Raw genomic sequence first — 24,757 nt, forward strand, 5'->3', positions numbered from 1 at the left:
TTGGGAGAAGGGACCAAGGCTCAGGTTCGACTGGATGCCAGTCTCCCAGTGGGTCACCCTGGGTTTGGATCTGTGTCCCCGCTCAAATCTCATGTCCAGTTGTAATCGCCAGTGTTGGAGGTGGGGCCTGGTGGGAGGTGATTGGATCATGGGGGTGGATCCTTCATGAACGGGTTTGCCCCATCCCCTGTGGTGCTGTTCTCCTGATAGAGTTCTCAGGAGACCTTGTTGAGTGTGTAGCACCTCCTCCTTCTCTCTGTCTGCTGATCCCACCATGGGAAGAAGTGCCTGCTTCCCCTTCGCCTTTCACCATGATTGTAAGTTTCCTGAGGCCTCCCCAGAAGTCGAGCAAATGCCAGCATCATGTTTCCTGTACAGCCTGTGGAACTGTGAGCCAATTAAACCTCTTTTCTTTATAAATTACCCATACTCAGGCCAGGCACAGTGGCTTGTGCTAGTAATCCCAGCACTTTGGGAGGCTGAGGTGGGTGGGTCACTTGAGCCCAGGAGTTTGAGACCGATCTGGCCAAGATGGTGAAACCCCATCTCTACTAAAAATACAAAAATTAGCTAGGCATGGTGGCATGTGCCTGTAATCCCAGCTACTGGGAAGGCTGAGGCATGAGAATTACTTGAACTGGGGAGGCAGACGTTGCAGTGAGCCAAGATCACACCACTGCATTCCAGCCTGAGTGACAGAGTGAGACTCTGTCTTGAAAACAATAAAAAATAAATTAAAAATTACCCATACTCAGGTGTTTCTTTACAGCAGTGTGAGAACAGACTAATCCATACCCCATGAGGAAAGCTGGGGTGTGTGAGGAAAGCTGGCCCCATTTTGGTGCTGTCTGCAGAGACGTGGCCTCCTGCCTTTCTCTCCGGGATACCCCAACGTCTTTCCACAGCCTCAGGGCCCAGGGTCCCCATCTACCTGAGCCAGGGCTACAGGTCTCCCTTCTTCCCTCCTCAGCCCCTGGGACTCCACTCCCAGCTGCATCAGGAGCTCACAGTGATGACTCCCTCCCACAGGCTTTTGTCTTTAAAATGAATATCACAGCAGCTGTAGGGACTAAAGGAGGCGATGTCTGCAAAAGCAGTGATGGTTGTCAGCAGTGGAGTCTTCTGGAATCTCTAAGCCATCTGGGGATGGAAATGTCACTGTGGGTGGGAGAGAGGAGGGGCTTTCCCCGTGGCCTGGGCGCTGCCAGAGTCTTTCACATTGCCATGGTCCCAGGGTCTCTGATGGGTAAGCACGGTGGCGAGAGTGCAGGTTCTGGAGAGGAGAGAGAGCCAGCCTGGGTTCAGATCCCATCTCTGGGAACTTACGCACTATGAGACCCTACGGAAATTATTTAATCCCTCTGAGCCTCAACTTTCTCTTCTCTAAAATGGGAAAACAACAGTACCTGCCTCATAGGGCTGTTGTGAGGATTAAATGAGTTAATACATGAAAAACACTCACAGCCCTAGCCAATAAATGCTTGCAAAATAGGCCTTTCCTGGCTGGGAAAACAACTTAAGGCAAATTATAGATGGATGTTGATGAAAGACTCTCTTTCCTGTAAGTAAAAAGGTTGAGACTCATTCTCAATTTGAGTCACCACAGGGTAATTATGTGGAGGTGAAACAGTGTGGGCCGTGTCCTCCAAGAGAATGCAGGTTGCAAATCCCAGCCTAACTATACACCATCCTTGGCCAATGAGGGTGCGTTTCTAGCTCTTCACTCCCTCCCTAGTCGTAGGATCGGAGTTTGCGGTTGCCGCTCTGTGGGCTGGTGTGCCTCCCGCTCCACCCCTGTCTCTGGGCTCAACCATAGGACTTGCTTTGGCCAACAGGAGTTAACAGATGTGATGCATGCAGAGGCCTGGGATGTGTGCACAGATGGGATCGATCTCTTGCACAGCTGCCCTCACCATGAGAAGAATGTGTCCCGCATTCCCTTGCTGCTGGCCCCGGTATGATGACCCTATACAGAGCCCTTACATCAACCATCTTTGTTATTTCCCACCACAGTCCTAGGAGAGGGTCTTGTCATCCTATTGCAGATGAAGAAACTGAGGCCCCACTGGGGTCACAGGACTTTTACCCTGATCACACCAGTGGTTGGTGGCGAGACCAGAAGCCTGTGTCCCTCTGACCTCACCACCTTTGGTCTGAGCCGAGCTTCTCCCACAGCAGGACTCTCTTACAAACCCATATCCCCTCCAGTAGGCAGGAGAGGTTCCTGGTCAGCATTAAGAAACAGCACATGGGGTGCCACATTTTCCTGCTCAGGTAGACTGAGGAACTGAGCCAGACTCACAAAGAAGACATTTGCCCCCTGAATCTAGTTAAGTGGTTTCTGTCTGGAGTGCAGTGAGCAGCTCCTGATTGCCAAGGGGAGGTTTAAAGTTGCCACCTGAAGGAAGATAATTTCATCAGAAAAGGCTGCAGCCTTTATAGATGATGCCCCGGGAGCCCTCGAATCTCTAGAGAGGACTGATGGTTGCTTGTTTGCTGGCGGATACGGAGAGAGGGAGGTGCGAATAGGAAAATGGAGCCGGGGTGGTCTCCAGAGGCCCGGAGTCAAATTCCTTACCAGCCAGCCAGCTTGTCCCAAGTGCCTAGGAGCCGACCAAGTCACAGCCTCTGGGATTGACAATGGCCGGGAATGGCGGATGTGATTCAGATAGGAGTAGGGACAGTGGGGAAGCTGAGGCAGAAGGTGGCTGAGAACTGGCCCCATACATACCGTCGTCGAGGAGGGTAGAAGGGTTGCAACGGCCTCGAGGGAAAAGTTCTCGCGTGAAAGTTGTTTTTCACATAAACATTCCCTAAGACCCGCATGTGCCACAAGCCTTCATCCTATTCCCCTCTCTTTATGACCCTAGCAGGAGGAACTGCAACTCCTATTTTACTGATGGAGAAACAGGGGCTCAGTGAGATGAAGGCCTTGAGCAAGGTCACCCCACTGAGAATCGTGTCTGGGCACGTGTGACTTCAGAGCCATGCTCTTTGGGTAAAAAGTTTGACCCCAAGCAGTGTGATATGGTTAGGCTTTGTGTCCCCACCCACATCTCATCTTGAATTGTAATCCCCATAATCCCCACGTGCCAAGGGAGAGACCAGGTGGAGGTAATTGAATCATGGGGGTGGTTTCCTCCAGGCTGTTCTCGTGACAGTGAGTTCTCACGAGATCTGATGGTTTCATAAGGGGCTCTTCCCCCTTCACTCAGCACTTCTTCCTGATGCCTTGTGAGGAAGGAGCCTTGCTTCCCATTCACCTTCTGCCATGATTGTAAGTTTCCTGAGGCCTCCCCAGTCTTGCTGAACTGTGGCTCAATTAAACCTCTTCCTTTATAAATTACTCAGTCTCAGGCAGTTCTTTATAGAAGTATGAAAACAGACTAATACACTGCGTCTACCCTGTGTATAGGCATGGAACATAGGTAGGCCTGGTATGCCTTTGGTTGGAATGTGTTCATTAAAAGGAATCATTAATACAATGATACCTAATTTACTTGGCCTCAGAGTATGTGGTATTCTTCAAGTCAATTTGCTAGAGCTTACTACTTGAAGCATTTTGATTTCTGTAACTCTCAATAGTTTGGGGTGAAATCACTCTTGACAATCAGTTGTTGCCTTGCTGAGAAGCATACTAATCATAATTCAGTCTTCTCTAGAGAACTCTGGTAACCACTATGAACAAAGGTGGCTCTGCTGCAGTAAAAGAGGTGCCCCTTGAGCCACTGAAGTGAATTGGATTATTCACCCTACACTGAATGGGCCCGAGTTTCTAGCATTATAGGGCTGTTTTTAAGTCTCACCTCCACTGTCATATTATCAGTTGTAACGTCAGCTGCTGTCTAAGGCCATCTCCACCCCATGTGAATGGCTGTGGACAAGGAGACGCTATGGCCAAACCTTTTAAGTGTGTGTTAAATATATGTAAATAACAGAGCAATGGCTGATGGGCCTCCTGCAGTGACTTGGTGACATTTACACACCTGTCATTGCTACTCAAGTTCTTCTCTGCTTTCTTCCCGACTCTCAGTGGTGTTATAGGCATTTGCGTTGCCCCACCTATTACATCCAGATAAGTAACGACTCACACATGAGGTTGGAGCAATATAAGGAAAATCTGTTTGCTGAGAGTGGGCATAAAAAATAGATTCCGGGCTGGGCGTGGTGGCTTATGCCTGTAATCCCAGCACTTTGGGAGCCTGAGGCGGGTGGATCATTTGAAGTCAGGAGTTCGAGACCAGCCTGGCCAACATGGGGAAACCCCATCTCTACTAAAAATACAAAAAAAATTAGCCGGGTGTGGTGTTGTGCCCTTGTAATCCCAACTACTCAGGAGGCGGAGGCAGGAGACTTGCTTGAACCCGGGAGGCGGAGGTTGTAGTGAGCTGAGATTATGCCACTACACTCCAGCCTGGGCGACAGAGCGAGAAACTGTCTCAAAAAAAAATAGTAATAGATTCCGTGCATCAAAGGCCATGTAAAAATCTGCACACAGATGTTCTTAGCAGCTTTATTGGTAACAGCTAAAAACTACAAACAACCCAAATGTTCTTCAGTGGGGTGAGCATCGACTGCGGTGCCTCCATATAGTAGAATGCTGTGAAGCCATGAAAGGGAAAGAATTTTGATACACACAACTTGGATGGATCTCAAGAGCATTAGATGAAGTGAAAAAAGCCAATCCTTAAAGTTTCCATGCTGCATAATTCCACTTGTATAACATTCTCAAAGCGACAAAATAACAGTGATGGAGAACCGTTCACTGGTTACCAGGGGCTAGGCATGCAGGGAGGCTGTGACTATAAGGAGGGAACATGAGGGAGTTTCTTTGTGGTGATGGAACTTTCTGTATCTTGATTGTGGTGGTGGCTATACAAATCTATACGTGGGATAAAATTTCATAGAACACCAGAAAAAAAACAAAGAGTGCATGTAAAAATCAGCACAATCTCAGTAAGGCCTTCAGTTTGGTTAACAGTAACTAGTAATGCAGCAATTTCCTGGTCTTGAAAATGGTACTATGGCTAAGTAAGATGTTATCATTGGCGGAGGCTGGGTGAAGGGTACAAGATAATTCTCTGTACACTATCTTTGCAACTTCTATGTGCATGTAAAATTATTTCAAATTAAAAAGTTGAATCATTTTTTAAAGCCTAAGACAGCCAATAGAAATAATTTTGGGATTATCTGGTGTTCTGAATTATATCTACCATGGTTCCCTTCCAATTGTGAGTCTTCCATTTATGCGTAATGTTACAATATAATTATATATCTTTGTGGCCTATAAAATAATTTTTCCCAGTTCTCTTTTCATTATTATAATGCTAATTAGTATTCATCATGGCTCTGTCTGAACTCTTTTATTTACCTGAACCAATGACCCAGATTCGAAGCAGCTGTGAGAGGAGAGGAGCTGGGTAGGGAGGTGACAGGCAGGAATGGCGACACTAGACTGTCAGCTCCATAAGGACGTATCTGGGTTTTCTTTCTTTCTTTCTTTCTTTCTCTCTCTATCTCTCTCTCTCTCTCTCCTTCCTTCCTTCCTTCCTTCCTTCCTTCCTTCCTTCCTTCCTTCTTTCTTTCTTTCTTTCTTTCTTTCTTTCTTTCTTTCTTTCTTTTCTTTCTTTCTTTCTTTCTTTCTTTCTTTCTTTCTTTTTCTTTCTTTCTTTCTTTCTTTTCTTTCTTTTTTTTAAACTGCTGCTTCTCCAGTGCCTAGAACAGGGTCTGAAATGCTCAATAAATATTTATTGAGTGCGTGTATGTGGACCCAGGGGTGTGTGTCCATATGACCAGTGTACACTAAGCCATAGGACGTACCCGTGCCGCCTCCTTGGCTATCACTAACTATAAATACTTGGAGACAGACTACAGTTTTATGGCCTTTCTGCATGGGGATGGGACACACCAGCGTCTATCGGGCACTCACCACTAGCCAGGCTGTACACTCATCCACTTCTCACTCGTGTCCAGAGAGGCACGAGTGATTGTCCTGAGAGGCACGAGATTGCCTAATGCATCCCCAATTGCAGGTAAGAGGACGGAGGTTCAGAGACGTTGTGCAAGTTGCTTAAGGGCACGTAGCTTGTGTAAGGCAGAGGTCCTTCTTGCACCCAGATCCACTGGCTGCCCAAGCCTGCATTCCTCCCATTGCACGTCTTTTCCATGCAGACTCCTTGCTCTGGGTTTGTAATAGGGACAGCTGTATAAATTGTGATGCATGGGCCAAAATTAGTTGGAGTTTATTTTTTGAGATGGGATCTCTGTCACCCAGGCTGGAGTGCAGTGGTGCAATCATGACTCACTGCAGCCTCAACCTCCCTGAGTTCAAGTGATCCTTCCACCTCAGCCTCCTGAGTAGCTGGGACTACACGCACTTGCCACCACACCTAGCTAATTTTTAAATTTTTTATAGAGATGGCATCTCACTATGTTGCCAGGCTGGTCTTGAACTCCTGGGCTCAAGCGATCCTCCTATCCCAAAGTGCTGGGATTATAGGCCTGAGCCACTGCACCTGGCCTAGTTGGATATTTGAAATTAGATTTATGCAGGAGTGTCTGGGTTATTATTGAGGTCTGATTCATCTCTTCAAAGAAAGGGGTCAGTGTCCCCAATGTCACTTTGGGCCATACATCATGAACGGAGTCACAAGTTATGGGGCTATTTCCCAGGTGTTTCTGAGAGAAGAGTACCAGGCCCAGAAGTGTTTTGCAGACCTGTCAGGGATCAGAGGACATCAGCAACAAGAATGCGGCCGAGTGGACCTTTCCGGGGGAGGCAAGGTGGGAGAGGAAGGGAGACCCGGGGACATAGAGGATCTTTCACAGCAGGTGCCAAGACTCTAGGTCCTCCTCCTACATTCTGGTGAATGATCATTGCCACCTGGCTGGAATTTGTGCAAAATTGGCTGCATTCTGGGAAAAGCACTTGTCAAATCCTCCCAGAAAAGAGCCTGGAGCCAACATGTCCCTCAGAAACTGTCCTTCTGCTGCCCCCCACCCCCCAACCCCAAATGCCTTCTGCCCCTGGACACCTGAGCAGTTCTTATGTCTTTGCATAGATTAGGAGGATATTCCAATTTATTCTGCATTAAAAGCCACTTTTCTTACATGCTTCTTCCTCTGAGTGACAGCTATGGCTTCAAGCAGTTCTCTTTTTAGCTAAAAAAGCTTATCAACTATGTGGCCACTGAACTCCATACACTCTTCAGAGTTGGTTAGTATTATGGACACTTCTTTAAGGAATCATCTGAATCTTTAAGCTGTAGGAATTGACCCATTAGTGGATCATGAGATTAATTTAGTGGGTCACATCCAGCACTTATGAAAGTAAAATAGAATCAAATAAAATAGGGGAGGAGGTATCAGAATGAGAAAGGTATTGCATGCGGTATGAGGATGTTTGTTTCACGAGCCTTCTGTTTCAGGGTGTGTATGGTGTGTGTATTCAGGGGTTAGGGTATGGGGGTAGAGGCAGCTGACTGGCTAGCAAAGCTGTACTCCTCTCCATAGTATCAGTGTGTCCCTAGGAAGGGGCTGCCCTTGTGTCTAGGTGGGCCGCTGGGTGACTTGCTTTCCCAGTGGAATGTGATTAAAAGTGACACTTTACTTCTTAGTCAAAGTGTCTCTGACATTGGTGGGAAAGTCCTAAAGGATGGAGCCTCAATGTGGCTGGGTCCCTGAATCACTGCATGGAGGAGAGTCACACACAAACCAGGAAGCCTCACTTTGATACTTATGTCTGTGAGAAATGGACTTCTCTTGTTTTAAGCAACTGACATTTTGGAACCTGTGTGTTATATAGCAGCAGACACAATCCTATTTAATATATCATGGAATATATTTTTAAGCCAGTCAAATTTCATCATAAAATGTATTTATTACTGTGGGGTCTGGTCAAAAAAGTTTGAAAAAAGTGCCTGCTCGGCTGGGCGTGGTGGCTCATGCCTATAATCCCAGCGCTTTGGGAGGCCAAGGTGGGTGGATCATGAGGTCAGGAGTTCAAGACCAGCCTGGCCAAGATGGTGAAACCCCATCTCTACTGAAAATACAGAAAAATTAGCCGGGTGTGGTGGTGGGCACCTGTAATCTCAGCTACTCGGGAAGCTGAGGTGGGAGAATTGCTTGAAACCCAGGAGGTGGAGGTTGCAGTGAGTTGAGATCGTGCCACTGCACTCCAGCCTGGGCAACAGAGCGAGAATCGTCTCAAAAAAAAAAAAAAAAAAAAAAAAGCCAGCTCTACCCCAGCCTCCTTATTTTTCAGATGGAGTGTCAGAGAGAGTGGGGCCTACCCACTGTCTCCTGGACGAGCTGGGACCAAACCCAGCCTACGCAGGAGGGGTCATAACATGAGGCCTGTATCTGCTTTGTTCCCATGGAATCCGGTAAAGTGGATCCCCAGTTCGACTCCAGCAGGCCCATCTCTCACCTGTCTGCCACGTCCACACTGCCACCAGGGACAGAGCTAACATCTGGCTCTGCTTCATGAGGCCTCCAGCCCCAGAGCAGCTCAGGGACAGGAAGGATGAACTCTGCCTGGCCTTGCTGAGCTAGTTCTCGGGGCTCCCACTGCAAGCTCTGTGGTTAACGCCTCTGCTGACAGCGGACAGGACAGACTTTCTCTGAAAGTCTGAGTTTCTCTGAATCTCTGAGGTGCAGGATTCTCAGAAACCCAGCGGCAGCCTTGCCACGCACCACCGCTGCGACACTGGGTGAGTCACACACATGCCCAGGAACATGCCTCCATATCTTGTGACAGGGTGAGTTTGGTCCCTGGTGCTGGTGCTGCACGGTAGATGGAAGCACAGCGGCTGCTGCGATCATGCAGAGCTTGTCACCTCCAGGAGTTAGAAGCCACCCAAATCCTGCCATTCAGGTGCTGGGGGAGGGAAAGTCCTGAGGGGCAGAGCTTCTGGGCTGTCTGCACACATGTGGCCACATCAGCCCAAGGCTTTGCCTTCCCCATCACCGGCCCCCATGGGGAGACTGGGAGGAGTTAATGCAGGTGACAGCCAGACCCAGGGCCTGGAGTTTGACAGGCTTAATACCCTTGCAACACCCCTGCGAGGTGGCCAAGCTAGGCATTTGCCCCAGCCCCACCCCCCAATATTAACGACGGGGAAATGGAGGCTCCTGGAGCTTGCTTGTCTTGCTCATAGTCCCCTCTTGATTGGCTGACAGCGGGATAGATGGACCCCTGGCACCTTGAGGGAGGAGTCAGGCAGGCAGGGCTCACGGCACTGGTGTCTGATGGACACTAACATCTCTGAATGAACTGGGGTTGGTTGACACTGGCTTCTATCTTTCCCCAACCTGTAAGCAGCCTGGGATTTGATCAGAGTTGATTATGACTCTTTCCCCAGGGGTGATGTTTGTGGGAGGGGCAACGTTTATGGGAATGAAAGCAAAGAATGACAAAGAGGTTTAGGAAAAACCTGGGACTGGCTGGTCCTCAAGATCTGGGGAGGAGGTGGTTTCTGCGCTCTCCCCCACCCCACCGTTCTGGGCTCCCAGAGTCATCTACTCATCTCCTCCTCCTCTACATATTCATATTCACCCCTCACACTCCAGTGGCCCAAGCTCAGTCCCTTCAAGGGAGGCTGGTCTAGTTGTGTCCCTCCCCAGGGGGAAAGGGAACTGGGGCTTCCTGAAGGGTCTCTGCCACATCCTTCCCATCTGAAATTATCTCATTCATTCACTGGGCATTGCCTTTCTCTCCCACTGGACTGCAAGCTCCCTGAGGACAGGCATCTTATCCATCTTGTTCACTGCATGTCTCCAGCCCCCAGCACAGTGTTTGGCACATGGTAGGCTCATAAATATGGGTAAATAAATAGCTAAGGCTCAGAGTCCCTCTTTTCAAGATAAGAAATGCAGAATCTGGACTTGGACATGAATATATTCAGCAGAATGCAGGGAGGTGTAGGACAAAGGCCTGGAGAACGTGTACAGTCCTAAGATGGGAGAGTTTACAAGAGATGGATCCTGCTAGTCAGAGTTATCAGGAAATAGCCACTGCTGCATAACGACCTTCCCCAAAACTCAGTAGCTTAAAACAATCATTTAGTTTGCTCACAATTTTGTACTTTGGGAAGGGTTTGGTGGGTATACCTTGTCTCTGCTCTGCACAGTGTCATTGAGGCCAAAGGATCCACTTCCGAGATGGTATTGTAAGCTGTTATTGACTGTTGGCTGCTCTCCACATTGCTGCTTGGGCTTCCTTGCAGCATGGTGGCCAGGTTCCAAGTGTGAATGTACCAAGAGACAAGAAGTAGTCCCATCTGATGCCGCATCATGTCCTCCATAGTCTACTGGTTGAGAAGTCACAGAGCCAAGATTCAAGGGCCTCTTCATGGGACCGGTGTCAAAGAGTTTTGGGGTGTGCTTAAAAAACATATCTAAGGTTTCCTGGGGGAGAGGAGTGAGCAGCTACACATACTGCAGGGTTTGGATGGGGCCTGTAAGCTCCCCAGAATGGCTGGAGTGCCTTAGTCTACCACCGGATGACTGAGGTCTCACTCCTGCTACCCTGCAGAAGCCTGCAATGAGCATGGCAGATTATAGTCTCCAAAAGTGGCCGCAGCACTTCCAGTCCCACATGTGCTTCTGGAACATTACCCTCCCCATCAATAAGTGCTATCGATTTTCACTCCCCTTGAATCTGCGTGGGCTTGTGACTACCTTGATGAATAGAATGTGGCAGAATTGATGCTGTGTGCCTTCTGAGGCCAGTCATAAAAGGTGAAATGGCTTCCACCTACCTGCCTTCCCCTCAGACACTCGTTCTTGGATCCCAGCCACCATGCTGCAAAAAAGCACAGGCTGCATGTAGGTGCTCTGGCTGACAGCCCAAGCTAAGGTCCCAGCATCAACCACTGGACATCACAAAGACCAGCCTTCGAGTCTTCCAAAGACCCAGATGTGACAGGGGTACCAGTGACAAATCATCCCCACTGTGCCCTACCTGAATCCCTGCCCCACACAACCCACAAACATAATAAATTGTTGCTGTGTGACACAAAGCGGAATATAACAACGGGACTTCAGGAGCAGTTCAATGTGCAGGATTCTGGTGGAGCCTCACCAAAGAGCAGGTTGGCCACTGAAGCTGGCATTCACCCCTGTAACCTGGAGGGCAGGGAGAGGTGTTGTGGGCAGAGGAAAGGGCAGGTGTGCAGCCTTGGGCAGGAGGGACGCCAGTGGGGCTGCGGTGGTCAAGGAACCACCTGTCATCCTGAGGGCTCGGAGGGACTCTTGGTGGTATCTGCTTCCAGGTGAGGGGGTGACGAGGTGAGCTGGAGTCGAAGGAACAAGGCCACTGGCCAGACCTGAAAGTGGGAATGAGGCCTTCTCTGTGGTGGGATAAGGCAGGGTCTGACCAAGCTGTGGGATGGTCCAAGGGCCAGGAAGCTGTGCATGGACCACTGGGCCCTGGCATTGACAGCTGGGTAGCTCAGGACCAGGGGCAGAGCTGAGGGCAGGAGGTAGGGATGTTGAGGGCCAAGCATGTTGTCAGAAAGGCAGTGAATGACGATCTCTTTACAACATGGCCTTTGTTGGTTGTCCTGCCCTTCACAGCACACTGTGGGGGACTGGGGGTGACATCTGCTGCAGCCCCATGACCCTTTCAGTTATACTTACACCTTGTTAAATATCCCTTAACTTTTCTGGGTCTGACACATGGGAGGGGCTCCTGCTGCCAGGCAGCTGCTGGAGCTACATCCCAGATGATGGGTCGGTGGCATGCCCTCGGGACCCTTCCGGGGCTCCCCAGCTGGCACAGCCTATGCAGTCTCTGTTAGCTATCACTGAATGGCTGGGCAGCATCAAGTCCTTCCTGAGGGGCCATCCCCATTACTGCAAGTGCCCGTGGGAAAATGCAACTGCCTGGCTGCTGTAAGTCCACCCCTCAGCTCGGTTTCTACCATTTGCTGAGCAGGAAGTGGGAGTGCTCCACCGCTCACCGCAGAGGGCTGGACGGCAGGCTCACGCTGGGCCCCGCTCACCCCACTCACCTCTGTGGTCTCCTGGCACCCCTCCCAGGCTGCATAGAGGATTTCTTCTGGGCTACCTTAGTATTTAATTTTGTCGTTGTTGTTGTTGTTTGTTCCTAATATAGAAACATGTCTCTTCCAGCCACTCCCGGCAATCTGAGGGGCATTTTGTGTGTCCCCAGCACCTGTACAGCCTCACACTTTGAAGGTGTCCAATCACATCTGCTGGAGGAACAAGTGGCCCAATGTTGCATGGATCCTCTGGGTCGGTGTCATCTCTCTGGGTCGGTGTCATCTGTCCCCTCTCACCAACAGGTACGCTGCTCAGAGCACAGAAGTTACTGGTGACATACACATGTCCTTAAAAGGCTAAGAATGCTGGCTGTGGCAGAGGCAAACTACTAAATGAAATGGCGCGTCAGTAGCTCCTCCAGCAGGGCCTGATTAGCCGTGGGTAATGTTCACTTGTGAGAGGGGGCAACTCGGCAGGCCTGGGAGCAAGAACTCACACAGAGGGCCTGCCCTGGCCCTCGAAGAACCATAGACGCCGGGGCAGCAGCCTCTCAGCACCACCCTCATCTGTGAGGACTCTGGGCCCACCTAACAACCTGCACTCTCTTCCCACTCACCCCTGGCCTTGGTAGGGGGTGAGCCAGGGACAACCCTTCTGCCTGGAGAAGGGGCTCAGGAAGAAGGGTGTCTAGGGTGTCTTAGCTTGAATTCCCCCAAGAAGCTGACCCTGAGAAAAGATTCAAGAGCAACTGGAGCTTAACCCTGCAGGGAAGCCACCAGCACTCACATCAGGGTGCCTCCACCCAGGAGCTAGGGGCCTGGGTTGTTATGCACTGACTCCTCAGCCTTTGACTGAGAGCTGCTCCCAGGAGATGTCATTCCCTCACACTTGCTAGCAACTTTCTAGGGCCAGGAGCTCAGCCTCAGGTGGAGAGGTGCAGGGAGGGCAGGAGGAGGTTTCAGAAGCACTGAAGCAGTCACGCCCAAGGGACATGGGTGAGACTCCTGGAGGCCAGAGGGGGATGCCAGTGCATGTGTGGCTGTCACTGGTCTGAGGAAGCTGGGGTCACCCTCACTAGCAAGATCCATTTGAGGAGTGTACCAGGCCCTCCAACCTTTTGATGGTAGAACCTGTGGGGAGGGGCTGTGCCCCACAAGAGGAAAAGCTACTTGCTAGCTGGGTTGGGGACAGAGGCCCAGGCTAGAGATGGGCCCAGGTGCAAATTCTAAGCTGCCATTGGCATGATGGCTCTGCCTAAGCTATAGAGATCCCCCTCCCCATCCCTCCTAGTTTGTCACTTAAGACTATACTCACCTTTCCCCCAACCTCACCTGTGGCCTTTTCACCAATCCCACATTGGATTGGTGGAAGTGCAGCTACCAGGGCAAACCTGGCGCTGATGGATAGCAAGCCACTGGGGCTGCCCCCAAAATGGTCTCTTGGACCAGTGGGCTGAGCAGGGCTGCCTCAGGGTGCGACCCGGGCCTCCCAGCAGCCTCTGAGGTCCTGGCTGTCAATGGTCGGGGTAGGACTACATGACCTCCAGGGGCTCTTCCAGAATTAAGCATCGTCTTTGAAACTGTCGGGCATTTCATGGTATGTCAGGCTCTGTGCTAAGTCCTTTCAATTGTTATCCTCTTCAATCCCCACCACACCCTATGAACTAGGTGACTACTCTCTTCAGTTTGCAGATAAGGAAACTGAGGCCCCAGAAGTTAAGAAACTAGCCCAAGTTAGAGAGGAAGGGAATGTCAGAGTTGGGTGTGAGCCCTGGGCGAGGCCTAGGACCTGCCCAGTGGTGATGTGAGGCTGGACCACAGTGCTGGGGCTGGACCAACCTCTGCGTCCGGGCTGGGACATGGTTCCATCGTCCACGCCCCACCTGGCTATGCACTCCGAGGGACTCCTCTGGGCCGGGCCTGGTCAGCACCTTGTGCCCCAACGCGTGGCCTGGAATAAGTCAAGCTATAGTCTCAGTTTGACATTAGTCTTTTATTATAACCATATTGAATGGGGTCGCTTTGCCAAAAGGAGAAATCATTTCTTAAATCAGTATGAGTTATAGCATAAAGATGGATGAGAAAAAAGCGATAGGGCATACATGGCGTCACTGAATATTCCATCAATCAAATGAATTGTGCCACTGTGAGAAAAACTACTATGACAGCTTTTACATCAAAGTGGTCTCAAGCCTGTTTATACGAACTTTATATATCTTTTTAACAGTATAAAAAGAGAGCTTTAGTAAGTAACACTGAGAAAGCAGTCTGGCCTTTGAGAAGGAAGCCTGGCTTGCCAGGTGCCATCCTCAATGTATCCGGCCTCTTCTCTCTGCTCCACAGCCTCCCCAGTGCCCCTCCTCCAGACACACAGGGCAGGGGCCAGGGGCCAGGTGTGTGTCCGCAGGAAAGGAGGGATGGAATTGGTTGGAGCCGCCACAGAACGGCCACTCTATGTGGGGACCTAAGTCCTCCGTACACACTCCTGTTCTATAATGAACCCTTGGAGCAGTTCCTTAAAAAAATAAAATAAAAACAAAAATAATGTGCATCAACTCTGACTCACAGGTTATTCTTAGGAGGCCAGCATGACTGCCACAGAGTTTGATATTTGTTCAGCATCTCTGACAAAGTAGAGGAGGCATTCCTGTTGAGAGCGGGCAACTAACCCCCAACTCCCTGAAGCAGCTTCCTTAGCAACCCCAGGGCTGACAGCACAAGAGTCAACTGGTCATCTGCAGGCAAGGCAAATCACAGGGAGGTCCTGGTTTATTTTTAGAGTCACATTCTTTCTGCAGTGATATTATTTCTTTCCGGATTGCAGTTACCTCTGAACATTAGCAGGAGGTCAGCTTTGGAAGAGTAATCCAGTGTAACTAAATGTTTAATGTGTTATCTGACCCTGTGGCATACACTCAAGGTAAGGCAAAGTAATTAGACTTGCTAGTCTGTAACTCTCACACGTAATGTACAAAGCTAAATTTTAACTCAAATTCCAATCTGATCAAAGAGGAATGCATGAAACACATAGGGACACATATAAAAACAGGAGATGATGATGATGGGAATTAATCTAAGCTTCATGTATACAAAATGTATTTAACTGCTAATAATCAAAACGTAAGAAGGGTTCCACTGATTACATTTGTTAACAAAACACAATATATTCAGGATTTAAAAAATGTACAATTAAACATAAGTATCTGATAATATAATAAAAAGGAGCACATATTCTTTAATAGCACTGTAACTAATAAAATTGCAAATAATACTCAACTATGAAGAATTTAAAAAAACACTTAAAAAACATAAGGCAGTAATACAATTGTCTGAGTATGAGCCTGTGGGAATTTGAGGCTGGTACTACCCATGACCCACTGTCCTTGTATGTCTCTCTCCTCCAAGGAGGTGGTGAGCTTGCTGGGGGCCACAGAAGCACAGGATGGAGAGGACCGAGAGGACCTGCCTCTAGTGTGCAGCAGGGCTGGGAGTTTTCAGTGACTATTAAACACCCAGCCAACTGCAGGGAGCCAGCGGAGAGCCTTATTGGCATGGTGGGTGCCTAGTGACTCTTGCAGGGCGAGTGACCCTCAGCTATCATGACTCTAGCTCTAGGGCAAAGGAAATACTAGAGGTCAGCAGGTGACACTGGCCCTGCTGCCCAGGGATGGCCAGGTCTGTGGTCCTTTCCAGTCTGTCCCAGAGCCCTGGTGGGAACAGCTCTACACCTCTTACCTTAGAACTGAAAACACTGACACCTTCCCAAGGTGAGAAAGTGACCAATGGCAACCCTGCACAGTTGCAAGGTCACTCGCTGTATGGGGGCCCCGCGGCTTTTACAAAGTGTTGTCATAGGGATATGTGCTTGGCAGCAGCTTACTCAGAGGTGCTGAGAGGAACACTCAGAGCCAGAAGCCAGGGAGCTACTGTGTGCATCTGCCAGGCAATTGCCCAGTGGTTGAAGGTCAGACAACCTGCTGTCTGGCAAAACCAGTTATTATTCACCTTACATGCTGATGTGGTAAGAGGAGAGTTCCCTGCTAGAGTTTAAGAGCAAATTGCAGAACCAATTAGAACCCTCTCTACAGTAGCTGACTTGAGAGTGAGTCACCATTTTCTTGGAGGGCAGGTGGGAAATCATGTCATTATCACATTTGTCTATAGAGATATATAAGGTTAGCAGTGGGAGGGACGTAAACAGTGTCTGTTCCTCTATACTGAGCTTTCATTTGTTACCATGAAGGCCTCCACTGCCCGGCTGCCTCGCCATCCTCTGAGGACAGGCTCAAAGAGCTAGTCATCCCTGGCATGGCTGCTCTCCCTGATGGAGGCGAGACAGGCACTGTGTCCCTCTGCCATCCTCACCCACTCCTGTTAGAATTCCTGCGCAGGCAAAGGAGAGGAAAAGCATCCTTTCCAGGGATCTTCTTTAAGGAGAGAAACAGCTCATGTGATGCTCTGTGCCCATCATGGTTTCCTAAGGTGCTGACTGACAAGGGGGAGAGTCTCTAATCTGTGCTCAGCCCAGGAAGGCACTGGCATGTCAGACCCGGTCCCGGCAGTGGGGCCCAGGATACGGGGTTCACAGCTGAGCACAGGCCCTGCAGTACCTACACTTGACTTCCAAGAAGGGAAGGGGTTGTGTAGAAATCCTGCATCCTCTTGGCATGTGGAATGTTCTCTAGGTATCCTTATTCCCCACAGAAGGGACTCTAGGTCCAATTCTCTGTCTTATGACTGCTACCTTAAGGCCAATGAGGGATTCTGACTTTGGGTGGGAATGAACTTGGGTTTTTCCCTTTATTCCTCAGTTGACAGGTATATACAGCTCTGAAACCAGAGAAACCTGACTAGAAAACTGACTGTCTGAAAGATGTTTATCCCATAAAGTCAAGGTCGCATTTTCCATTTGAAGGATAGTAATATTCTTATATCTTTTGAAATCAGTGCAGCTAAAACTGGCTTACAGTAATCTTGTTTTCTGGCTATGAAAGATTCTAAAAGGTGAAATATAATTGTTTAAGGAGAGATATTGATGGCCAAAGTTGATATGGCCTAAGGATTGGAGATGCATTCTTTAATACATCAAAAAAATCTAACACTATATCACACCTAAATATTATTCCTAAGCTTAGATCCTGTTTGCAGAGATCCTTATAACTTTGAGAGGTCAGTAATGAGGTTTTTTCTTTTTTTTTTTCCCCCAGCCCTGGAATCCACTAGTTCTGGTTCATTCTATTGCATTTAGCTCTGCGATATGGCTTCCCAATGCAGGAATAAAGTAGGCTGAGACAGATTTCCACAGAGGAAGCTTTCTTGGTATAAACCAATTTTCCCATGTCTGATGCTTTGAGGGATAGAAGATACGAAAATAACTATTTCTGCTCCTTCTAAGTATAACTGATGGAGGTGCCACACATTCTTAGCTGGGGAGAAGGGGACAGAGGAAAAGTGATTCTAAATTGTGATTCGGTCTTTTCTAACTGTGAGTGTGATACTGGGTACGTAACTCAGCTCTAACTCAGAGCAAGAGTCGGGTGGGGATTAGGTAAGGGCCCAGAAAGCCCTGTCTGCATGTGGCAAACCTAAGCCTCTGTGCTTTGTGGCCATATATGCTTCTCTCTAAGGGGTTTCAAAGGGCTGGACCAATGCAAAATGCATGCCGGGAAGGAAGCAGTGGTTTAAGAAGGTTCTCCACTGGATGAGCCTCAGTCTGGCCTTGGGGCCACTGAAGGGTGGCTAGATCCCTGTGGGGCAGGACTGGGCACTGTGGTCAGATGTCCAGGGGACTCACAATGGTGAAGCCAGAGTCCTTGCTGCTGTCGTCATCAGGACTGGAGCTGGGGTTGCTGGAGGAAGCTGAGGCTGGGCCCATCAGTGGATCTGAGAACACCAGTGGGGAGCAGACTGGGGCCTGGCTTTTCCCAGAGGTGCTTCTGAGGGTGCGAAGAGGCTGGGCCTGGCCGGAGAAGGAGCCCCTGGCACTGCTCCCATCATCATCTTTGGAAATCAGGATGAAGTCATCGGAATTCCCTCTATCAGTGCACCCTGGCGTTTCTGAAGAGGCCTGTGAAGTACAGTCAGAAGTACAGGTGGATGAAAGAAGAAACTGGCAAAGAACTGAGTGGAAGGCCCTGTGAACTGGGGGACTCGTGGTGGAAAGCTAGGCCACCTCACCCTACATTCGACCTTGAAAGACGCAGTGTTTGGCCTGCTGCCCTGAAGCCCACACGTTTACCAGTGGTGCAGTGCCAGCAGCATCTTGTGAGCCCCTCTGAAGCCAAATGCTGGCTTCCCTGGGGGAACAAAGTAAAGCTCCTGTTTGACAAGCTTCAGACAGAGGCAGTGTCTGTGCTGCCAGGGAGAGCCCAGGCTCAGGAGATGGCCAATAGGTTGCAGGCAGAATCCCTACCAGCGTCATGTGGGACCCTGCCATGCAAATCACCCATCCTCCTTGAACTTTAACTTTCATCTGTGAAACAGGGATAAAGACAGTGTCTTCCTCCTAATGTGTTGTCATGATATAGTGAGATGATATGTGCAGCTGCTGGCTCCCTAATGTGAGCTGCCAGATCTGGAGTGATTCTATTACTGGCTAGAAGGATAGCTTTCAGAAGGCCTAATGTATTTCATCTCATGTAGATCTCATTGCTAGCTCATCTTGGGTATGCACACAGGGGTCTCCTGGAGCAATGGTGGTAACCGGTAGGTTCTACAAATGTGAAAACCAAGAACGGCAATTGCAAAGTATAATGGCAAAAAGTATAGAGATAGAATTGGTTTACTCAAAAATTATTTTCTTTCTAAGCAATTATGAGTGGCTTTTTATTTTTTAACTTACTTAATAAAGTTAACATTCACGAACACAGGTAAAGGTTTTCGGTTAGCAAAGCCAAAGTTCGACCAAGGACATCCAGTGCCAGCCTGGCAGAAAGAACACCTCACCCAGTGGTGCTGTAAGGTGATGTAGTGCCCACAGCTGCCTCCCTCACCCTGTCTGCCTACCCTCCCCACAGCATGGGTGGAGTCTCGTGCTGGGGTCTCAAGTCTAATGAGATATATGGAGACCGCTGACTGGAAGTGTCTCCTGAGTCCTTGGGCCTCCAGACTGGCATGGCCTAGGCCATCTGTGCACTGTGTGCAGAGCCAAGAAGGGGAATGAGTAACAGCTCTCAGGGAAATCTGGCCTTGAGCCCTGTCTGATAGGCCCCTCTCTAAATCTCATGTCCTCCTCAGTGATGTAGGGGGCAAGTGGCTAAATAATGGCTCAGGAACCTTCCATCTCTGATGATTCACCAACCTTTAGGATATTCAGTCAGAGAACATAAACGTAATTGGCCTTTAGGATCACAGAGCTGCAACAGGCCTTGAGGTTCTTCATCTCAGGTTCTAAAGCTGTTGTTAACATTCTATTAACACATTAACTCCTACACAAGCAAAGAAAAACATAGCACACGGTAGTCTGATAGCAGGGGATGTGATCACAAATGGCACCAGAGCTGTTTGGTAGAGAAGGACTGTCTTTTTTCTGAGTTGGAGGAAAAGAACTCAAATCTCTTCCCCATGACTGTCCCTATATAAGGTGCACCTGGTCAGAGCCATGCTGCCTTTGGGGAGTGCATTGAAAGCTGCTGGGGAATCAACAGAGGCCCTCAGGTTTGACTTCTTCCAGAATTGTAGACACTTTGTTCATAGGACAGTTGTCCTGCACTGTAAACTGTGAAAATCTTGACCTCTCACCACAACACAGGGCTGGAATGCTACTTGGTGGAGCTTATCCTAGGTTGAAAATAAAAGAGCATGTTTAGCAGGGCCTAGTTTTTAGAGTGGTGCCTCTACTTCAGAGATACTGAGATCACTTATTCTCCTTTAGCTTACAGTGAAGACGTCAGTGAGATTCTGAAGTGGAGAAATACTTTTCAAACCCCTGACTAAATAAAAGTAGTTTCTACCATTACTGTAGTTATCTGGCATGCTTCCCCCAATTCCCAGATGAAGGTCACAGACTGCCGTAGACAAAGCAAGTTAGAGCTGACAGGGCCTTAGCAGCCATTTTCTTTTATTGACCCCCCCCCCTTCCTTGCCCCTTTGCATTACAGATCAAGAAAACGAGCCCAAATAGGAGACCTGGTAGCTTGGCCAATGTCACAAGGCACAACAAAAGACCCCACTCTTCTGGACTCCCACCTAGAATTTTTTTCAAGAGGCAGAGTTGACTTCTTTATGGATTTCCCTAGCAGCCTTAACTGCTATCTGGTGCCATTTATAACATTTACAGAAGTTTTGTAAATCCCTAGGTCAATCCTCTCTTTTTACCCAATACAGGTAAGTCTTACACAATTAGAAAAGTTTTCAACCTGTCAGTCCTGCCTAAAACTAGCCATGATCATCACAACACATATCCCTCTTACCCGCTTCCTGCCACCTTCCCAGACCTACCTCATTTCATAGCTTGAGTTTAGGATGGTTGTAGAAGCAGGTGAGCCCAACTATAGACCAGCAGTGTTCAACAGACATTTTCCATGATGATGGAAACGTTCTCTGTCTGTGCTACTCAATACAGCAGCCCCTAGCCACAGGTGGATACCAAACACTTGAAAAGTGGCTAGTGTGACTGAGGAACTGAATTTTTAATTCTATTGAATTTTAGTGCATTTAATTTTAAATAGATAGATACGTGGCTAGTGGCTGTAATAGTAGACAATATGCGGATTAAAACAGGGGACCCAAGTACCAAAAGGGCAAGTGATGCGTTGGCTGACTAATAATGGATCCAGGGTCCCACAAAGTCCTGCCTTCTACTGCAGCTGATTTGAGTTAGTTCATCAAATACTTCCCAAAGGAATGTGTGAGGATAGATGCTGAGAAGGGAGGGACAGCGTGTGGCTCTTCTCACTCTATAGAATACAATTTCACAAGACTGCTGTTTTCAGAGCTGGAGGTAAGATTTGTAAACCAAACAGAAAGAACACTATGAGCCATGTCACATCAACCTCACAGTGAGGAGCAGGGCATGTGAATTCCCACAAAGGAAGAACACTTTCACAGTTGCTTTTGAGGAAGGGCATCGGCAGGAGGACCATGAGCCATGTGTCACTAGGCAGGGGAGCCTGGCCCTTCTGCACTATCTTTTAGACATTATTTACTGATTAACCAAGAAAGCACCGAAAACCCATCCCTAAGTTAGGAATGTGCCATGGCACAACCCATCACAAACCCAACATGTGGTGCTTACATCTCCAATGTGTCAAGAACCTGCCTAACACTGCTCCCCTAGGCCCTGGCCCTCCATAACTGGGAGCTCATGAGAGCAGGGGATATATCCCATAGCCTTGGACACCCAGTTCCTGGCACAGCAGGCTGTGGAAGCCTTCGGAACTTCCACTTGGCTCTCTTGGCGCATGTTCCTGGGGGTAGCCTGTCCACGGCCCTCTGTACCTCCTCCCACAAGGAGTGAGGAGGAAAACTTAGCCAGCTCCAAGCACTGATGAGTTAGCTCCTGCAGGAAGAAGGTGGGTACCTGGCAGCTATCTCATGCCTGGTAGACCCCCTGGGCCCTTATCAGCCTAGCCCAGATCCTTGGGCTTTGCAGTGGAAGGCCCCATGCACTTGGCTTCTTTCTGACTTGCTTGCTTGAATTCAGGAATTCTCTCAAGAAATCTCAAGATTTCCCTGAAGGAGAGAGGAAAGCACTGCTTCTCTGTTTCTCTCTTCTTCAGTAAAACTCTTTTCAGGAGTACTAGCTTTGTATAAACTGCTAACAGCTATGGGGAAGGGCCATGGCAGAGAAGAGGTAGAGAAGAGAAGCCATTTTATTTTCACTTGTGGGGTCTTCAGCCCCAGGAAGGGCTGACTGTGTCTCAGAAGCACACGCAGAGGTGCAGTATCTCTTGGATACTGCACGTGATGAGGCCGTGCCAGAACAAGGGTGCAGTTTCATTCACTGCAGACACATCTCATGGCTAGCTTATCTTGGGTATGCACAGTGGGGTCCACCGGGGCAGCAGTGGTCATTGGTAGGTTCTTATAAATACAGAAACCAGGGATGACAACTGCAAAGTATAATCATTAAGTTCTAAATTTAACAAATTCATTAGTGATTTTAAAATATCTTTTTTTCTGTAGTAAACTGACACACTCAACTAAAAAATTATGCTAAAGTTTTAAATAAAATTGTCAATTAGAAATGCATTGTGGTTGGGCCTACGCTCAGTAATATTTGAATAAATAAATGATTGAAAAATAAAACATCTGTGCAAGGAAGGAGAATTTGTGAAGAAACGAATGAAATTAAACTGGCAGTATCACTGTTGCATTCATGTGGCTACAAATGCAGAGTCAAAGCACTCCATGAACATTTCATATGGCTTCAAGAGGAAGTTAACCATGGAGTCTCTCTTCTGGAAGAGCACCCTTAAAACTGAAAAACATTCCCACTCAAATGTCATTTTGCTGTTTTAAAATCACACAAAAAATAATTTACAAGTGTCTGAATGCTGGTTTTTGAGAAAGTGACTTAGATAATATTTTGCTAATGTTCATTTTCCAAGATGAAACTTTGTAAGCTGATTTTAAAAATATTATTAATAATTTAAAATACAGGTGGGAAATGAACAATCTTTTCGTCTTATCGGATAATGGACAGCAGGGCAACATGGTGGGACTGAAGCTTACTGGGTTGGGGCAGGGCTTCTGAAAACATAATGCCTGGCAGGCTAAGTGCCTCTGGCTTCGGAGCCTGTATGTGTCCTCTGGCCTTCATTTTCTCACTGGTCAAATGAGCAGACAGGACTAGGCACATAAGGAAGCTGTAGGAAGATCCTTTCTAGCTAGGAAATTCTGTGGTTTTGTGTTAAAATAAATTATATACAATGTTGACATCTGAGAGTAGGGGTCAGCAAACTATGGCCAAATCCAGCCTGTGGCCTGTTTTTGCATGGCCCCCAAGCTGAGAATGGTTTATATATTTTTAAAGGGTTGTGATAAAAACAAAAAGAAGATACAAAGAAAAAAAAAAGCAGTATGTGACACAGATGACCATATGTTGCCTGCAAATCCTGAAATACTTACGCTGTAGCCCTCTATGGACCCCTGCCACAGATGGCAGACATTAATGAGAAGTCCCTCCCCATGAAGGCAAGAAAGTAATTTTGGCAAAAAAGGTTCTAGCGAAGTGAAATCCACTCGAGACAGCATTAGGAAAGCCTAGACAGTACTTCCTAAAGGGGAAAAGAGGCATCAGCTGGAGGCAACTGACTGATAACTAAGACAGAGATCCAGCTTTCCCATCGCACAGAATGGGCATGGCAGGAGGCTCAGGCAGCACTGCTGCACACGGGTTTGTAGGGCACGCACCGCACGGCTCTAGGAGACACTTGTCTTACCAGTATCATTGTGAATGGCACCCCCTGCAGCACAGAGTGCACAGCCTGCACAGCTGTACACAGCACCTCCGCAGTTGAACTTCATACATGGTAATTTGAAGTAACTTTGGTAGGGTGTATTCTTAACTTTGAGGAACTTATGTGAATGTGCTCCCTTTGAGTTAATGTAACATGTTCCTCAGAGTTTCTGTACCTGTTTAATGGCCCCTGACATTTGAACGCTCTGGCCTTGGCCTCGGCCCTGGCCCTGGCCGCTGGAGCAGTAGTGGTTGTCCGCAATGGTGATCTGTTCGTTCTCTTCGGCCTCTAGCTGGCTCTGGTTAAAACGCAGGGAACCTTTTAGAATGTCTTTGATCTATTTTCAAAGAAGAAGAAAATAAATGAAAAAAATGGATGAGTTTGTTTTCAGATGCTAGCTAAATCTCTCAGACATTTGAACTAGCCTTGTCATCAATCATTTTTTATAGTATGAATATTAATATTTTACTATAAGAAACAAATAATGAGAAAAAAATCTAATTTTATCACAGCTGCTGGCTTAGCAGTGAGCAAGAAAAACGTCAGGACATTTAATAGCCAGGTTCTCACAGGGTCACATATGGGAGTCACATACTTAACACTATCTTAAAACAGGAAGCACAATTTGCCTGTACACCCACCCCCACTGCACACCTTGGTCACTAAAGTGGCTCCACCTGAGCTGGACTGTTCACAGCATAGGTAGGCATTTGGAAACAGCATACTCTTTTTCACTGACATTTATGTCTCATTTAGATCTTCAAGGCTTGGGTCAATGTGGTCCTTGAGGGTCTGAGGCCTGCTGTAGGTACTAATTATGACTTGTGCCCCAAAAATATTCATGAATTCATGGATGAATGACTGAACATGATGCTGGTCTACCCACACTAGCTTTGGGTAAGGAACAAACAGAATGGGTTTGGTAAGAGGAAGGAGTGGTGTGGGAAATGGAAAACCAGCGTGGGTCGCAAGCTAGTCAGATATAATTGTTAGAAGCAGCGGGGGCACAAAGAGGTGGTGATGCAGAAGGGGCTCTGTCTGGGAGGAAATGAGGGTTAGGGGGATGCTGGCTCTAACATCATGGTGCTCCATGCCCTGGGGGGCCCTCCCCGCGGCAGGCGGGACACAAAGAAATAGTGTCAGAGCAATGCACATACCTGTTTTAATCCTGCCAGGGAAACCAGAATTTGATCTTCTTTTTCCAAATTTTCTTGTAATATCACATCTTGAATATTTACTGAAAATAGAAGAATGACATTTTATAACCAATGCTCTGAGCATAACCTACCTGCTGCCACATCATAACTTCAGACGGGCTTGGGAAGTTTTCTGCCAAATCTCACAGCAACT

General features: G+C 48.1%; 1 protein-coding gene across 62 annotated transcripts in view, besides 10 other annotated features; it reads right to left on the minus strand.

The window, feature by feature from the left end:
• Positions 973 to 1,267: a silencer, noted in NCBI's record as "tiled region #1226; HepG2 Repressive non-DNase unmatched - State 23:Low, and K562 Repressive non-DNase unmatched - State 22:ReprW". NCBI's record gives its function as "represses a minimal TATA promoter and a strong SV40 promoter by Sharpr-MPRA in HepG2 and K562 cells {active_cell/tissue: HepG2 | K562}" and the evidence as "EXISTENCE:reporter gene assay evidence [ECO:0000049][PMID:27701403]".
• Positions 5,731 to 5,900: an enhancer, noted in NCBI's record as "experimental_66731 CRE fragment used in MPRA reporter constructs". NCBI's record gives its function as "activates a minimal promoter by MPRAs in K562 erythroleukemia cells, with activity observed for the introgressed 3:17190492 or rs4685436 variant allele {active_cell/tissue: K562}" and the evidence as "EXISTENCE:reporter gene assay evidence [ECO:0000049][PMID:34662402]".
• Position 5,816: a transcriptional cis regulatory region, noted in NCBI's record as "Neanderthal adaptively introgressed variant 3:17190492 (GRCh37/hg19 assembly coordinates) or rs4685436 in the experimental_66731 CRE". NCBI's record gives its function as "modulates activity of the experimental_66731 enhancer by MPRAs in K562 erythroleukemia cells {active_cell/tissue: K562}" and the evidence as "EXISTENCE:reporter gene assay evidence [ECO:0000049][PMID:34662402]".
• Positions 8,241 to 8,320: an enhancer, noted in NCBI's record as "active region_19564". NCBI's record gives its function as "activates an Ori minimal core promoter by ATAC-STARR-seq in GM12878 lymphoblastoid cells {active_cell/tissue: GM12878}" and the evidence as "EXISTENCE:reporter gene assay evidence [ECO:0000049][PMID:35858748]".
• Positions 8,321 to 8,822: an enhancer, noted in NCBI's record as "H3K4me1 hESC enhancer chr3:17192997-17193498 (GRCh37/hg19 assembly coordinates)". NCBI's record gives its function as "activates a minimal SCP1, AML or CMV promoter by ChIP-STARR-seq in naive H9 embryonic stem cells {active_cell/tissue: H9 hESC(naive)}" and the evidence as "EXISTENCE:reporter gene assay evidence [ECO:0000049][PMID:30033119]".
• Positions 8,361 to 8,420: an enhancer, noted in NCBI's record as "active region_19565". NCBI's record gives its function as "activates an Ori minimal core promoter by ATAC-STARR-seq in GM12878 lymphoblastoid cells {active_cell/tissue: GM12878}" and the evidence as "EXISTENCE:reporter gene assay evidence [ECO:0000049][PMID:35858748]".
• Positions 8,621 to 8,790: an enhancer, noted in NCBI's record as "active region_19566". NCBI's record gives its function as "activates an Ori minimal core promoter by ATAC-STARR-seq in GM12878 lymphoblastoid cells {active_cell/tissue: GM12878}" and the evidence as "EXISTENCE:reporter gene assay evidence [ECO:0000049][PMID:35858748]".
• Positions 10,177 to 10,348: a silencer, noted in NCBI's record as "fragment chr3:17194853-17195024 (GRCh37/hg19 assembly coordinates)". NCBI's record gives its function as "represses an EF-1alpha promoter that drives an FKBP-Casp9 reporter gene in an ReSE screen in HepG2 liver carcinoma cells {active_cell/tissue: HepG2}" and the evidence as "EXISTENCE:reporter gene assay evidence [ECO:0000049][PMID:32094911]".
• Positions 13,978 to 24,757, minus strand: part of TBC1D5 (TBC1 domain family member 5) — a 585,470-nt gene continuing 574,690 nt past the window's right edge. For 42 of the 62 annotated variants that reach the window (XM_047449296.1, XM_011534283.4, XM_047449314.1 and 39 more), the window contains 3 exons: positions 24,565 to 24,644; positions 23,583 to 23,744; positions 13,978 to 18,072 (listed from right to left, as the gene is read on the minus strand). In XM_047449296.1, coding sequence (XP_047305252.1) covers positions 17,779 to 18,072; positions 23,583 to 23,744; positions 24,565 to 24,644 — 536 coding nt within the window. In that variant the 3' untranslated portion in view covers positions 13,978 to 17,778. The remainder of the gene's footprint in view (positions 18,073 to 23,582; positions 23,745 to 24,564; positions 24,645 to 24,757) is intronic. The other 20 variants (NM_001349091.2, NM_001349086.2, NM_001349080.2 and 17 more) reach the window with 1 other exon arrangement.
• Positions 15,234 to 15,734: an enhancer, noted in NCBI's record as "H3K27ac hESC enhancer chr3:17199910-17200410 (GRCh37/hg19 assembly coordinates)". NCBI's record gives its function as "activates a minimal SCP1, AML or CMV promoter by ChIP-STARR-seq in primed H9 embryonic stem cells {active_cell/tissue: H9 hESC(primed)}" and the evidence as "EXISTENCE:reporter gene assay evidence [ECO:0000049][PMID:30033119]".
• Positions 15,735 to 16,235: an enhancer, noted in NCBI's record as "H3K27ac hESC enhancer chr3:17200411-17200911 (GRCh37/hg19 assembly coordinates)". NCBI's record gives its function as "activates a minimal SCP1, AML or CMV promoter by ChIP-STARR-seq in primed H9 embryonic stem cells {active_cell/tissue: H9 hESC(primed)}" and the evidence as "EXISTENCE:reporter gene assay evidence [ECO:0000049][PMID:30033119]".

The sequence above is a fragment of the Homo sapiens genome, chromosome 3 (genome assembly GCF_000001405.40).
Source record: "Homo sapiens chromosome 3, GRCh38.p14 Primary Assembly".
Lineage (NCBI taxonomy): Eukaryota > Metazoa > Chordata > Mammalia > Primates > Hominidae > Homo > Homo sapiens.